The sequence below is a fragment of the Homo sapiens genome, chromosome X, assembly GCF_000001405.40.
Source record: "Homo sapiens chromosome X, GRCh38.p14 Primary Assembly".
Taxonomy (NCBI): Eukaryota; Metazoa; Chordata; class Mammalia; order Primates; family Hominidae; genus Homo; species Homo sapiens.
The window spans coordinates 12,367,339-12,383,472 of record NC_000023.11 but is presented as its reverse complement, the minus strand read 5'-3'; the positions used below and the strand labels follow the sequence as shown (position 1 = coordinate 12,383,472).

The 16,134-nt window shown below is 41.7% G+C and overlaps 1 protein-coding gene and 1 long non-coding RNA gene across 12 annotated transcripts in view; one reads left to right on the top strand and one right to left on the bottom strand.

Moving 5' to 3' along the window:
* The window catches only part of FRMPD4 (FERM and PDZ domain containing 4), a 902,085-nt gene that overhangs the window by 341,051 nt on the left and 544,900 nt on the right, over positions 1-16,134 (bottom strand). The window lies entirely within an intron of this gene.
* FRMPD4-AS1 (FRMPD4 antisense RNA 1) lies at positions 8,103-11,881 on the top strand. The gene is made up of 2 exons (NR_046743.1): positions 8,103-8,529; positions 10,212-11,881. It is a non-coding gene; the product is annotated as an FRMPD4 antisense RNA 1 (long non-coding RNA).

Below are 16,134 nucleotides of genomic sequence, written 5' to 3'. Positions count from 1 at the left end.
AGATTTGGAGCCAGATGTTTCTCTGATGGGAGGGGTCCTGCGCACTGCAGGAGGTTTAGCAGCATCCTTAGATTTCAGCCACTAGAGGCCAGTAGCACTGCCTGCCCCCACCACCAGATGTGACAATGTCTCCAGATGTTTCCAAAGTATCCCCAGGGGAGAGGGAAGGTGGCAAAATCTCCCTTGTTTGAGAACAATTAGTTTAAATATATTCTCCTAGTATTAGGGAATTTTCTGTCTATGTGCTATGCTCTAAGTGAGTCTGACTATAACATTTTAAGTTTTAAGGATGGAAATCATGCCTATGTTTTTTTGAAATAATCTCAGCTTTGTAAATATTTATTAGGTACCTCCACAGATGTAAGGAGCTATCCTACTCACTGAGCATTTTTAAAAACTAGTACGACATAATTTGCTGCCCCTGTTTGGGGCAGGGGGTAGAGCACAGAATATAGGTAATACCAGCCCTATGGGAAAAGTTCCAGAGAAGGGCTATAAACAAGATGAATTAGGAGCAAGCCATTGATCCAACAAACGTTTTCCGAGTCCCTATTATGTTTACAGCCCTGTTTTGGGCTCTGGGGAGAAAGCAGTGTACAAGATAGACAATTGCTACCAGGAGGGAACCTCCATTCTCATGTTTAACAAACAATTAACACATATAGTATGTCAACTGGTGGTGAGTGCTTCTGATTAAGACAAGGCTGAGAGATGATAGATAGGGGATGCTGGGGCTGGGCAGTGGGCACAATTTTAAAATTGGGGATGCTGGGCAAGTCATTCCCCACATTCCTCGGTAGTCCTGAGGACTGCCCTAGAAAGGAGGATGGACCATCATATGTAAGCAACACCCAGCACAGAAGTTTGCTTTTTTTCAGCAAACAATTATTGCTTGCTATGCTATGCTATGCTATGCTATGCTATGCTATGCTATGCTATGCTCTATGCTATGCTATGCTATGCTATGCTATGCTATGCTATGCTATGCTATGCTATGCTAGGAGAGTCACCAAGTGTAGGTGAGAAAAGCCCCCAGCTTCTCTGGGTCACAGCATCCCCAAGTATGCAATCCACAGTGGGCACTCACAGCATTTCCTCTGAGCCCTCTCTGCTTCCCAGCCCTGCCAGTATCATACCCCTCTGCCCGGCGATCCTTTGGATCTCTGTCCTCTATTTCTGGGTCACCCCATTTTTCCTAACCCCTATGTTTCTCAGCTACCCATGTTCACAGGAAAAGAGGGTCCTTTCTCTCTTATCCATTTCTCCTAAGCATGTCTTGTTGCTTTCCTTGCAGTCTTTAAAACTGACTAATTAGGGAGTTTTATGTTCTGCTCACTGAAATTCTCATCTCACATCAGCCTTTCTACTTGGGTGCAAAGAGCTGCCTTCACCACTAGACTTTGTGTTTCTGTCCCTGACTCTCAGCACCTGTGTCTGTAGGGGTTTTTTGGGCTCCTTCATTCTCCACCAGGTCTTCTTGCTCTTCCCCAGTCCTTTGGTCTTTCCTCCTCCTCTGAAAGTCTCAAGCCTGGTCCACTCTCCCCTGTGGCTCTGTTTCTATGTTGCCTTCCTCTGAGCATGCTTCCCCACCTGTTCAGATTCAGAGGCAGCACATGAGCACACCATTGGGTTCCAGGCCATGGGTGAAGACCTTCTTATGGATTATTTGTTCTCATCCCCTGGTATAGTTACTCCATTTTCCAGATCTTCCTTCTAGGATCCATCTGCTCAGACTCTACCTCTGGATTATCGTGTCAGCAGTCCATTTATAATTTGACCATAGCCAGAACAGTGTCAATTTGTAATGGTCTTCTGGAAAGTCCCGCTTGCCATCCAACTGCATGTGAATCTAAATAAGATGCTAAGATGCAACTACTTTGGTATATATTTGCTAACTGTATGTACGTGAAATCATATTCTTATCTTGTAACTAGGATACAATTTCTTCCCCAAAAAAAACACTTTAATAAAGTAAAGAGAATAACACTTCATGAGTTATAAGAACACTTTTGCCTAATTTCCTAATAATTTTAATCAACTTTGAGCAAACTTGGCCTGCCTTAATACATAAAAGTTGAAACACTGAAGGAAGCATGTTTCCTTACAGTTTCATAGTTCGTATATCAAGGACGAGAAAGCATCCTGATTCTCTCCTCTACAGTTCACAGGCCTCTGGATAGGGTTCAAATATTTTTCAAGTCTAAACATGAGGAAATCATATGGCCTGTTGCTTTCTGTATTGGCTGTGAAGACCTCCAGTGACATTCACTAATAATTCTGTGACCCCAGTTTTTTGCAGCCCACAGGCATGTCTTTCATTGCTTTCACTCCAGTTGATCATCACAGACGTCAGACAGATCACTGGAATCCTATAACCACAAATTGTTGGGATGGAGTCCTTAAAGTTTATATAGAATATGTTCCTCTTTGGCTGAGGACTCTAGAGGGCACCCTGAGAGCCAACTGGGCTTTAGAGACAGAAGCCCCCAGACTCATCCATATAACTCACCTTGGCTCATTTTCTAGCTGTATGTGAACATTTTTCTGAATCATCTCAGATAAATTGCTTTGCCTGTCTCTCTGTCCTCTCAACCGTACAGTGGAGAGACTATGAGCTCTCTATTTCCCTGTGCCATTCTGATAATTAGATAATGTCCAAAAACCACTCCGGACTCTTCACAAAAGGCTGCTCTGTAAATAATATAAGATATCACAATTGCTTTGATCAATCATGTTAGGAAATAAATCAAGCACAGGCGTTTCTGACTTCCAGCATCACAGAACTCTTCCCAGCTGTTTTAACAGGCAACGCAAGGTCGGGTCCTCAAAGAAATGATTATTGCAGCAACTTGCAGTCCCAGTGGGGCTCTGGACACCTTTCACGGGTGGAAGAGATACTTGCTTTAGTTCAAGCAAAATAGTTCCCATGACAGAAACTAAATTGCTCATCCAAGTTAACTGAAATATTCTGGAACAAAGGCCCAGCTTATTTTCCCTCTTTTCTACTGTCATGCAGCTGTACATACTCTAATTAAAGGTAAGAAGATAATAACACTTCAATTTCAAATGAAAATGAGGAAAAACTGGTATGAGTCCTCTTCTGCTTTGCCCTTTGAGCTTGCACTTTTCTAAACACAGTACTCATTCTGCAAAGCTGTATTTCTGAAAATCTAGTAACATATTTTATAAAGTATTTGCTTTTTACTTTGACATTTTGCCATCAACTGCATATTTATACCTTGAAAAACTCACAAAAAAATTATTCCTTGGGAGAACCTAACTGGTACCTTAAACAAAACATTAAATAATCAAAACGGAGTGGAAAAGATAGATACGCTTTTATAGGCTCAGAACAATTGAAGAATGTGTCATCAAACAAAATCATTTTTCCTACCAAGTTACCATACGGTTGAGCCCTAGTACCAGAGTGGAATCCATTAGAAGCTAAAACTTCCAATACTGATTTCCCCCGGAGACTTTGCATTCTCTCCTCAAAATTTTTGTCCCAATTCCCAGCTTCTCATTCTCAGATCAGATGCACAGGTTTTGGTGCTGAAACTTCAATCTACGTGTCAATCTACACTCATGACATAATGAATCCTTGAGTAATCACCAGCATTGTTTCTCAAGTGAAATACCATTGAATGATGCATACTTGAACATCTCTCTTCTTTTTGAGAGCCAATATTTATATGCCAAGAATGCTTTATTCTGTTTTGCTAACTAACTCTGCTGCTGACAAATTGCCTTGCTCCCAATCTAACATTTGAAAAAGCCCTCTGAAAGATACACACACACACACACACACACACACACACACACACACACACGGCAGCATATCAATAAAATGTATATTATATATAAATTTATAACATATTACAAATTATCATGTGTCTATTCAATTGAGTATTCATTGAAACAAATATTCAGTAGATTCTGTTGTACAGGGTGATAAAAGAAAATACCTTGAAGATCTAAAGAGCAGCAGACTTATTTATTTTTAAATTGCAATTTATATGATAAGTATATTGGAAACCATGGACTCACATGTCCACATAACTGCACTTCAGCTCCCTGAGGGCAAATCCAATACCTAGTTTAATTAAAACCTATCCTTCTATTTTTAATGCAGCATGTAAAAGAGCTCAAAGAGGTGGACAAGAGATTTACTAGGCACAAGTTTATAGTCACAAAATTCATCAATTACTTGCACGGAATTTATATTGCCAAAGATATTGCTTGCTTCAGAGAGTCTTGATTTAAACCTAACAAACACATGTAAAAATCATTTACAAAAGATGGTACTAAATTTCATTAAGTGGTTGACATGTTTTAACTTAGAGCTTCACCCTCTCCTCAAGATTGCCCCCTAAGGAATGTGGTAAACTATATATCTTTAGAAAGGAATCTAAGGCAAAAGTCACATTTTGCAGGGTTTTTTGTGTCTCTGAAAGCCATTTCTTACAGATTTTGGGAAAGTAAACAATTAGAACCACTACTTCAAAACACCAAATGCATTCTTAAGATGAGATTTCACCTAAAAGAACACAGAGGCAGCAAAGAATGTACTAATTCATTTCTGTGGTCAAAACTTCGCTTTTCACCAGGATTCTCACTAAAAACACTCCTGTTTCAGGGACAGAAGTACAATAAAGTTCTGAGTACTTGGGGCCAAGAAAATATATCATCATGTGGAAAAGTAACTTCTGACCAATAAGTCAGCAGCAAGAGAAAATCTCTCCCTTTCTCTACTGATCCATTGGCCAAGAAAATCTAAGACATACATCATTCCCCCAAAAGTGAAATATAACTCCCTCTTTCTCCGTGCAATCTCCCCTCAGCTTACATGTTCCTACACACAGCGCACACTTCATGGTTTACCTTTGAATTACTGGATTCTGTCAAGGGTCCTTCCTAATATATCCAGCAGGAATGCAAGATGATGAGTGCTCTTCACCCCCAAGTGGCATTTGACTCCACTCCATGCAATCACTCAATGCAGTATGGATGAATAGGCCAAGTTCAGGTTCACTGCCCTACAGAGTCTTTATTCCTCACAGCACATGACTAGAGAGCAAGCGAACACTGCTGCTGGTGATGCTTCGCTCCCGTTAAAACTAATTGAAAAAGCACATTGCGAAAAGCTCTCTACAGGCTCGCTGTCCTTACTCTTGCTGTGACAAAGTTAAAGCTGTAGCCTTGAACAAGAAGAAGAACAACGACTAAAATACAATACCAATTTCCTCTCCAGAGGAGTTTTCTCTTCCAGCAAAACATTATCCCCGGCAGGCTTGAAGACAACAGGTGAAACCACAAATGAAGCCTTGAACTTTATTGACCAAAAGAGCCCAGGCAAAATTGCATGGGTGCCCTGCAAGCATCAGTCGCCCCCATCGGTGCCTCTTTGCAACGTACCTTGGGTGCGCACTGAGGCCAGCAAATAACATCTAATAAACAGCAGAGAACGCGACCGATAGCTTAACCTTGCTCCTGCCTTCAAAGATGCCAGACTGTTCTGTTTGCACAGGACTCTCCTTTTACCAACATTCAATTTGAATGAGCCAGTGCAAATGCACTGCTCGTCGGCTCCTGAGAACAGGATGCATTTATGTGAAACACGAGGAGAATGCCTAATGCCAAGGCATCCTCTGCATTCCCAGGAGCTTTTATTACAGGGCTAGCTTACATTTCACTGCCAGCACCCACTGCACTTCTGCGAGCATCGCGACTTCTAGCCAACATGTCATCCACCCAGTCACACGCACCTGAAACGTTGTGATTGTCTGTTAAAACAAGCACCTTTTGTGAGCTCTCATCTGCACCCAGGGAGATATTCTGAGTGACGGTGATGTTGGGTGAGCAGAATGTCATGCTGCTCTTTTTCAATCAGCAACTTTCAAGACTGGGAAAAATGACCACCAGATGCATTGTGGTGTGTCAGTTTTATGCTGAGAAGTAACGGCTCTGCAGTCCTTCATTCGAAAGGATCCAGGAAAACAGGCACTGGGGCTTTGATTCATCTTTGTTCCATAACACTAAACACAACCTTAATGAAAGCCACTGTCCAAAGTATGTGATAGCATAATAACGTGTAGCTACCAGGCCATGGCCAACATCCCATCTGATTACCTGTTACCGGCAGTGCAGGAAAACATTTTTCCTGGTACATTTAATTTTACATTTTTCCCCTCACGTACAGTTCACATTTGACTGAGTTGCAAAGACAACACTGTTTTGATTTTTTGTCCCCCTTAAAATTGCCCCAACTTTCTAGCCTGGTTTGGGGATTAAATTTGCATGGCTATATATGTTGCCCTGTGTGCTTTCGTGTTTAGATATGCAGGGCAGAATCTCAGTGTGGCCTGGGAAGGCCTTTTCTTAACCTTATTTCACAACCTGTGAGTTTGGAAAACATGCATCTGGATACAGCAGGAGCATTTTCCTGAGACCTCTGTTACAGGGAGTGAGATGACTGAGGTTGACTGAGACCCTAGGGGAGCAGCAAGCACCCCATTGGGAGGAAGTACCCAGGAACTTTGGCAGAAGTATTTCTTTGGGAAATGCAGACTGTCATCACTCAGGTCTAAGGAGTTCTGCTCAGTTCTGCAGATCAAGAAACTCTATTTGGTCACTTTAACCAGGGCTTATGCAGATCTCTGGAAAGTTACACTAACCAAACTCATAGGAGACTGAGTTATAAGCCAAATAATAATTGGTAAATTCTAATTCACCCAATATCTTACAAATGGTCAGAATTTTCACATCTGCCAACCAAGGATAAAGAAACTGTGTGTGCAGGTGAATGAGTGTGTGTGTGTGTGTGTGTCCACATGCACGTGCACCCACACACGTGCACACATTGATAGTGTGGAAATAAATATCAAGTTATGTAAATCTCATCGTAGGAGTCAATGGGAAATCTGGTTAGGAGATTTCACAAATAGTTGGTAAATTGACAGGTTAAAAAATAACATCTAGTAGATTCTGGGGCTCAACACCAGACCTAAGTATACAAATTCAGTTTCTAATCATAGCACAGACATGTGAAGCCATTAGTATAAGCCTGTGGAGCATGAGTGGTGATAGGGAAGGAGAAACAGATGCATATGTTAGCACCAATGATTAGGAGGGAAAATTTTCAGGCAAATGTTCCATCCAGCTTTCTCAGAAGGGAAGCAAGGTTTTTATGATTATGATTGCTCACAGGGAGCCTGGACAATCGAATGAGGCCTCCCAGCATTCAGGGGTATATGGAAACAGCTGGTAGGAAATGGTGACTATAAATATCAGTTCAAAAACTCCTAATACAAGATGCTTAGGATGGATCAATTCATGTATCCATTCATTTATTCCAGTAAACATTTCCAGAGTGCCTCCCATGGGCCATGCTCGGCCCTACCATCGAGGAACACAGGAATGAATGATAGATCCTACCTCCTGAGCAGATGGGGCTCATGTTCTTAGAATTCAGGATGCATTTCCCCATTTCTCAAAGAAATATTTCTGCCTAAGTCCCAGAAAAAGACAAGAATTCCACAAGAGGGATTTCAGACCCATCAGAAATAGCTCTGTGATTCTAATCAGCTGACTCCCTCCCATCTTCCCAAATACGCTGGGAAGAAAAGCTGAGAAGCAACTACGGATGGCTGGGCCTTGAAATTCCAACAGGAACAGCAAATGATCCGCTTTCTTTATGTGGATGCCTTCAGAATTGCCAGCTGTGGTGGGGACAACTTAGGCCCCCGATGACCTTGACCTTCTAGTGTCATGTCTGTGGTGTTGTTGGATCGCAAGAGACTTTTAGGCATAATGAAGTTTATTGATCGGCTGACCTTAAAATGGGGATATTATCCCAGATTATATGGATGGCTACAATGTATTAATGATCACACAAGCCCTTAAAGGCAGAAAAGTAACGCAGAAGAAGAAGTCAGAGGGACTGGAAGCATGAGAAGGATCCAGTGTACCACTGTGGGCTTGCAGATGAAGGGGACACATGTCAAGAGTATCAGGACCTCAGTCCTGCAACTGCAAGGAACTGAATTCTGCCAACAAACTGAGTCTGGAAGAGCACCCAGGCTCTAGAAGTGGTGACCCACAAGCCTGGCTTGATACCTTGATTTTAGCTTGGTAAAACCCTTAGAGAATCCAGCCCTGTCACGACATATACTTCTGACTTAGAAAAACTGTGTGATTATAAATTGAGTTGTTTAAGTCACTAAATTAGTAGAATTTGTTGTACAGCAATAGATAACTAATAAGTCAACTCTGCCTGTGGTCAGGGTGGATAATCTGCAAGCCAACCATCCTGCTTTACAGACTGTTTCCATTCATTAGGTTCACCTGTGAAGATGGTAATTCCTACCAGTGCTACAGATGTCACTGCAAATGGACAAGCCAAGTCTAGAAGACGCTAGGTCGGGATTGGACAGCCAGAGGCTGGAAGATGATTCTAAGACCAATGAAACAGAAAGGGAAGCATATCACAAACCAGAGCCAGACACTCTGCTAGGTTCTGAGGATTCAGAGGTAAGTATGGCAAGATCCTTGTGTTTTAGGGGCTTAGCATAGAATGGGGGAGAATGGGTAACTAATGGGAAACAAAGCAGAACTAAGTGATATGCTAGGGATGGAGGATAGAGCTGTTTGTTCTATTTGGAGGCACAGGTGATGTTGACTACCCAAACTGCCAGCTGGATGCATACTGGCCCCCAAGAAACAGCACCACCCATCAACTGTCAAAACACCAAAGTTTTATATAAAGATGGGATCCGACCCTGCGCTTGCATGGCCCTGCCTTCCTACCCTCACCCTAATCTTAGCCCTCTTGAATCCTGCCTTTCTTTAAAATGGCAAGTAAGGTTTTGTTCATCTCGGACTCTTTTGCATTCGTTTGTTTTTTAAAGGACTGCCTTCCAATATTATTTATCTTGATTACAGCGTATTTGGCATCCCCTTAAGTTTTGCTCCCCAGGCAAGCAGCTGACTTGCCTCACCCTAGTGAGAAACAAGTAGAGCTGGCCAGGCAGTGAGGGGCCTGGCGGGGCTAGGGAGTTAGTCCAAGCTCAGCATCGATAATTCTGGCATGGATCATATAGGCTTTGGGGAAATGATTTGCCATTTTAAGTTACGCTTTCTAATTTGGGGCTCAAAGAAAGTCTCTTTCTCTCTAGTCTCAAAATTTAGAGTCTAAAATTCTGTAACATAATATCTTTTTGAATGGGTAGCCTGACTCCTAAACTTATCAACAGCTCCTAGTTGCATAAAGATTTATAGATGCTCAGCTTTGTTTTCCTTAAACCTGTTCAAAGTATGAATCTACTTAGGCACAGCAACTTTATTGTTAAATTAGAATAATTTCCCTGCAGAAAATCTACAGAGCTCTCATTTGGGAGATCCAGGAGAACTAAGGAAAGGCAAACTGAATTTAAGGCTTTGGGGAAATTCAGGGAGAGCTAAGTCAGAGTTAGGATGGAAGTTTTCTGTAATCTTAGTATGATAAGGTCAAGCTACTTCTGCAACTTCATGCAGCTGGTGATGCAGCCTGCCAGAACTGCCAGCTGACATTTGCAATGCAGGTAACCAAGCGAACCCGGAACCCTCCGTTCCGCCTTTGGAAAGCGGACAGCTTTGTGGGCTTCATTTTCTGCTTTAATAAAAGGAATGCTGGTCTCCAAAATGGTGTGCAAAGAAAACGCTGTGTTTCCCAGTGGCTAACTTCGTACTTAATTGGATCATTTTTACAATAAAGAGGATTCTTTTCCCCTCAAGTTCTAAAAATAGCAGGAGACCGCACAGTTTGGGCTTTGGATTATTGGCTTCTTTCTTTGTTTAGTTGGGAGATAATATTATTCTATTGTCAGATTGATGCTGGTTCCTTCTAGCAGTGAGTGGGCTTAACACAAAAGGTGTTCTCTGGGCCAATTTAAACCAGCAGGTAGAAATTGTTACACATCTGAATCAAAACACAGGAAAAGTATATGCCACTTGCCTTGATAAACTCCCACTATTTATTATCTGGGATTGAGGTTTTTAAAAGCAACCACTCTGTAGAGTTTAGGCATTCAGCATCTGATTATTACTTAGTGCCTGAACTCTCTTTACAGCTCCAGAATAATTAAAATGCAAAAAAGGGAGTGCAATGTCATAGGAGAATTTGAATTTTTAAACACCCAGGTTAAAGCATGCGAAATGTAATATTCTCTCTGCAGAATGAATTATTTCCTTTCCACTAAGAAGTCGGTTAGAACTTCAATCGAGAGAACACACAGAGCAAACTGGGTGATCAACCTGCCTTGTGAAAACATTAGGTTGTGCATATTGTGATTATGCACTTGACTTTACAAATCAAGGGCTAAGCTATACAAGGTTTTTAAACTTTGTACCTGATGAAGACCAAAATACAAGGAAACTATCCTGTAACTGGTGAGGCGGCAAGAGGAGAGAAGTCAGTGGTGCTGTCCCCCAAAGTTCTAAAGGACTTCTCGGCTCCATTGTGGCACTAGAAACCAGGGTTTGGTCCATCAACTCCTTGCTTGTCCTGAGGACCCAGTCCCAGAAAGATGGTGTTCGGCCCTGCAGTACCTCAGGATTGTTGCTTGGATTGAATCACACCCAGACACTTCTACAACTCAGAGCTCACTCTCCTCTGAGGAAATACCTCAAACCCAGTTGAAAGGGAGGCCAGCTCTGTCAGCATGTGACAAAAAGGAAAAAGACATGTCATCTTCCTAGGATCCTTCTAGAAACCCAATTAACCTGGAGGCCCAATGTACAGAACCTGTATAGCAAAAGGCAATAGCCTCGACACACTCTGCTCAGAGAACCCAGCACGCCTGGTCTCAGCACCATTACCAGGAATCAGACCCTGCTATTTTGGAAGACGAGGAAATACTGCTAGTAGGGATGGTGAAAAGTAGAACAGAACACAAGGAGGAACATTCCAGCAGGTCCTGGGAGGAGCCAGCATCACTGCTTCAGCCAAGGCTTTAGAGGGCCTGTAAGGCTAGGCTACAGCTCTCATCCCAGGCATTCACTGGAACTAACGTGGAAAGCATTAAAAATACCCATACCTGGCCTCATTGCTGAGATTCTGATGTAACTGGTCTGGAATGTGACCTGGGTATCAGGATTTTTAAGATTCTCAGGCGATGCTTTTGTTCAGCCAAGGTTGGGAAAGACCAGAGTAAGGCTGACACGTTTCCGGCAGCTTCTGAAAGTTAGCGAATGTCAAACACTGGGAAGCTGCCCGTGGCTGACATTAAATTGACTATAGAGACAGGAAATCTGAATCAAATCAAGAAACACTGATGGAGCCCAGACTTCTGGATGAGCACAGGAGATGATGAGTGGGTGAGTCTTCTCTGCAGAGGAGCAGGGCTGGTTTCCTGGAAGTATCTCAGTGCTTATCAGAAGCTACCATTCTACATGTATTCACATTTAGAGTTGCTTGATAAAGCACAAAATGCCCAGTTAAACATGAATTTCAGAGAAACAATTTTTTTGGTATAGTTATATCTTAACCATTGCATGGGATAATAATTTTTAGAATAAGTATGTCCCAAATGTTGCATGGGATAATAGTTTTTAGTATAAGTTATGTCCCCAGTATTGCAGGGTCCATACTTACACTAAACTTACATTGTTTGCTGTTTATCTGAAATTCAAATCGAACTGTGCGTCCTGTATTTTTATTTGCTATATGTGGCCACTCTATTCATATTTATTCTTTACCATCATCATAGGCATATTTATTAATCTCATGTGTCAGCCACTGTGCTAAGTATTTAGCATACTGTAGCACATTTAATCTCCCCAGAAACTACCATTGTGCAGATCTGGAGGTTGCCTGTAGCATAATAAAGACTTCTTAAATGATTGCAATCGTTACTGTCATGACATTCTAACAAGTTGAAGGCAAAGGAATCTTTGAAATACTCATATTAAAATGAAACCAAAAGAAACTCTTCATGTAGGAATTTCGTGCTCAGTTTTTTAAGCCACAAGTAAATCAGTTTAGAAAATAAGGGTTAATGAGGGACATTCCCCCTCTACTCCCCATGCTTTTTCTTCTCTTCTTGTCATTCTACCCACCTCTCAAGTATCTTGGGCCACCATAATTCTCAGACTTAATGGTGACCAGATAAACTGGCTGGGCTATGGTCAGGTCAGGAGATACATACACAACAGGCTACGCCATATGGGTAGCCAATTCCTATTGTGATTTTTTGGGGAAACGTAAATGTCATTTGGATAATTTATACTAAGAAATACAGATACTACAAAACCATTAAAACAAGTATACAAAGTTCAAATAGAGAAGGGGGTGATATAATTTCCTAAGAAAACCTAGGCTGAAGATAGCTAGTGTACAGCAATTTAATGTTAAATAAAACTACAGGTTTCCTGGTAGTCAAGGCAAAAAGGGAAGCAATCTATTTCTGCATTCCCTATCCAATAACAGGAAGCACACTTAATCAGGAGAGAGAAATTTCCCCTTGGCAATGATACTACTATATCACTTGCTTGTTAATAAAATAAGATTCCCTGGACAGCATAGTAGACTGGGTCTATTTTTATATCTCACTGAAGACACAGATGCTTTCTGGGTTCCAAATATTCTTAATGATAAAGTCCCTGAAGACAAGCAGTTGAGAAGCAAATATTTAAAACATGTTTAAGGAAGAAAGTTTGGGTTCTAGCAGTTTTTACAAAGGCCAGCTGTCGCACTGACTAAAACTTTGAGAATTACAACTACAGGCCAGGGTTCACCAGAATCCTTCCTTCTTCTCACGTAATACTTTTATCTTTGGAACACTTGTAACATTTTGTAAGCATCTGCCAAACCCCTGCCTTTTGCACGTGAGCAGATTTTTGCAGCAGGAAGGCTGAATCTTGGAGAGAGACACTGCCCTGGGGCTACAGGCAGCTCTAGGAAGCATTGCCTTTGGGTTTGTTCTCTTGTCCCCCAGCAAGCTTTTCTCCTCCATATGGTCAAGGCCAAGCACAGAGGGACAGTGCATTTCCCTGACAGTAATGACGTGAGCCTCCTGGGTGAAATAGCTAGAATAACTCCCAATTGATGGGGCTTTTGCTTTTTGTTACATTTCTTCATCTGCTTTCCCAGTTCAAAAATTTTATATTTGTTTCTTGTTTATTTATTTTTGTGGAGATGGGGTCTCACTGGGTTGCCCAGCCTGGTCTCAAACTCCTGGGTTGAAGTGATCCTCCTGCCTCGGCCTCCCAAAGTGCTGGGGTTACAGGTGTGAGCCACTACACCCGGCCCCAGTTCAAAAACTTTAAATGAAGTGACCAATTGGAAGCAAATTCCCTGTGGACATTCTCTTTCTTTGTGAATTGTGTTTGTTACTGAGCAGAAAAGATTTTTCTTAAAAAATTGGAAAATTATGATAAATGAAAGAGCATTTGCTCAACACTAGAAAGCTCACATGCAAAAGTTCAGTCCAATAAAAAAACCAGAGCCATTAAGTATTGGAGAGGAGGCAAAAAGCATATATACGTATGAAACGTAAAATATATATATTATACATATTTCTATATAATAGAGGAGGAAAGTCACTACTCTGAATGGATGATTTAGATTACTACTAGTGACTAAGTCCAAACTCTTTGGCATAGGAACTAGGCCTGTTTGTCTGAACTTGGCCTCAGCCTTCCTTACTGATCTCTAGTCACACTCACATCATATGTTCCTTGACTCTATCATGCATCTTGTACTTCAGGACCCTTCTTTATAACAGCAGTTTCCACTGACTATGAGACTCTGCCATTTTCTCTCCAACTATTGAATTCCTACTTACGTTTCAAGAACCAGATTAAACAACACTTCTTCCTCCATGAAGTCTTCCCAGAATGCCACAGGCATGGTTATTGGCCACCTTGGTATTTTATATAGACCTATAACACTTCTTACATTGTATAATTATGCATTTGAATCTATTTCCCATTCTAAACTACACATCTTCTATTCAGAAGTTTTGTTTTTTGTGTCTCCAATGTTGAAACAGTATCCAGCTCAAGTCTCAAATATACATGTATTGCATTTAATTTGAAATCAATTCAGACAAAAAGGAGGCCCGCGTTAGTTAAATGATATAACCCACGCTCTAACACAGGATTTCTTAAATCTTGTTTGGAGACAGACCAGCATGACTCCAGTTACTTGCGTGGTGTCATAAACTATTAAAGAATTCTCAAAATGAAAAAAAAAAAACTGAGTTTATTTTAATTTTAAAAAATTAAAATAAAAGTTTAAGATTATTTAATTTAAAAAATGCCCTTACATACAGCAGACTGCCCCTTGAAAGGGAAAAGAGTCCCCAGATCAGAGAATGCAAATGATACAATGTTACGAAGTTCTGTTTTCTGGGGGCTACTGATGAAGAGAGAGAGAGAGTAGCTAAAGATGAAGTGGGGTAAAGACGAAGGGCGGGGCAGAGGAAAGGGGAAGGAAAGGAGGACAGGCAGAAACTGTTTAAATTAGTTCTGAATTTATTATATGCTTTTTGTAAGTTTGGTGTTAACTTATAGCTTTTATTACATATCATGGGTTTTTGTTTGTTTTTGTTTTTGTTGAGACAGAGTCTCGCTCTGTTTCCCAGGCTGGAGTACAGTGGTGCAACTTCGGCTCACTGCAACATCCACCTCCCAGGTTCAAGCGATTCTCATGCCTCAGCCTCTGGAGTAGCTGGGACTACAGGCGCCCGCCGCCAGGCCCAGCTAATTTTTGTATTTTTAATAGAGATGGGGTTTCACCATACTGGGCAGGTTGGTCTTGAACTCCTGAACTCAAGTGATCTGCCCACCTCAGCCTCCCAAAGTGCTAGGATTACAGGCGTGAGCCACTGCACCCAGCCATGTTGTTTTTAGATAATAGGTCATGTTTAAATGTTTTGAATCTATTGACTTGACTTGAAAAAAAAAAAAATAGCACAGAGCAGAAGATGTAAAACATGTTCCCTCGCCAGGTAGTAATCTGCCAACCATTCTTTTTATTTCTGTATTCCCTTCTTAATTTAGCACTGGGCCTCACTTTACTGGAAAGAATACAGCACAAATAATTTATACTAGTTGTTTTTTCTAACTTTGGTGGTACATTATATTCAGTCTCTTTCTTCCTCCTGGTAACGTCAGCTGTTGTACACTTATCTCCAGCTACCTGAAATGGTACAGACCAAAGCTTTGGGCTGCAGTGTCACTGGTTTATATATTTCATCTCCTTTAGCACTTGCCTCTGAGTGTTGTGGGAAGGAAACTGAGGCAGAGAGATGTAGTCACTTGCTCAAGCCCAGGCAGTCTACTCCAGGGGGCCAGCTCTTCACCACCACACTCTCCTGTCTCCCAGGGGAAAAGCCAAGCTCTGGGATGTACCAGAAAGAGAGGGCTTCTGCAATGGATTGGCAATGTATGGTCATTGCATTAGAGGCATCATCTCCACAGATGCTAAGGTCATGCAGGAGGATGGGTGAGAAAGAGAACAGGGACCTAAGCCTAGATAGAGATCTGATTAGTGGGTGTCAGTGATGAGGATAGACAGGTATAGTCAGGTATGCAAGCCTCCTAAGAAGAGTTTTTATTTTGTTTTACATGAAGATGAAAGTACATTCAGCCTATTTATTCTCTTATTTCCTTTTTAAGTAACATGATAAATCCCTTCCACAAAACTCTTCACTAGCTCCTAACATCTCCTGACTTAAGGTTCTGCCTTGACATCATCTCCTTCACCTTCCATGTCTAATCCCTGACCAGGTCCATCAGTTTTACATCCTGAAAGGACCTCGAAGCATCTCCTTTCCCTCATGGTTATTGCCACCATCCGACACTTCTGCTGCCCCAAGCACCATCGACTCCTCTCCAACGAGTGCAGCGGCCCCGTAACTGGACTCCTTACATCTCCACTCGAATCCCACGCCCTCCAATCTCCTCTCTGCACACTGGCATCCATAAATCCTTGTCAAAGTGGAAATCGGCAATTAGGGCAGCCACTAAGGATGGTTCATTGCGCAACTCAAGAAGGTGCTATGTGCAATGTAGCCATGATTCCAGGAGTCAACCTTCATTAGCATGAAATGTGAAGGGTGCCCCTGGGGTAGGCAATGCTGCAGTGCTATATGT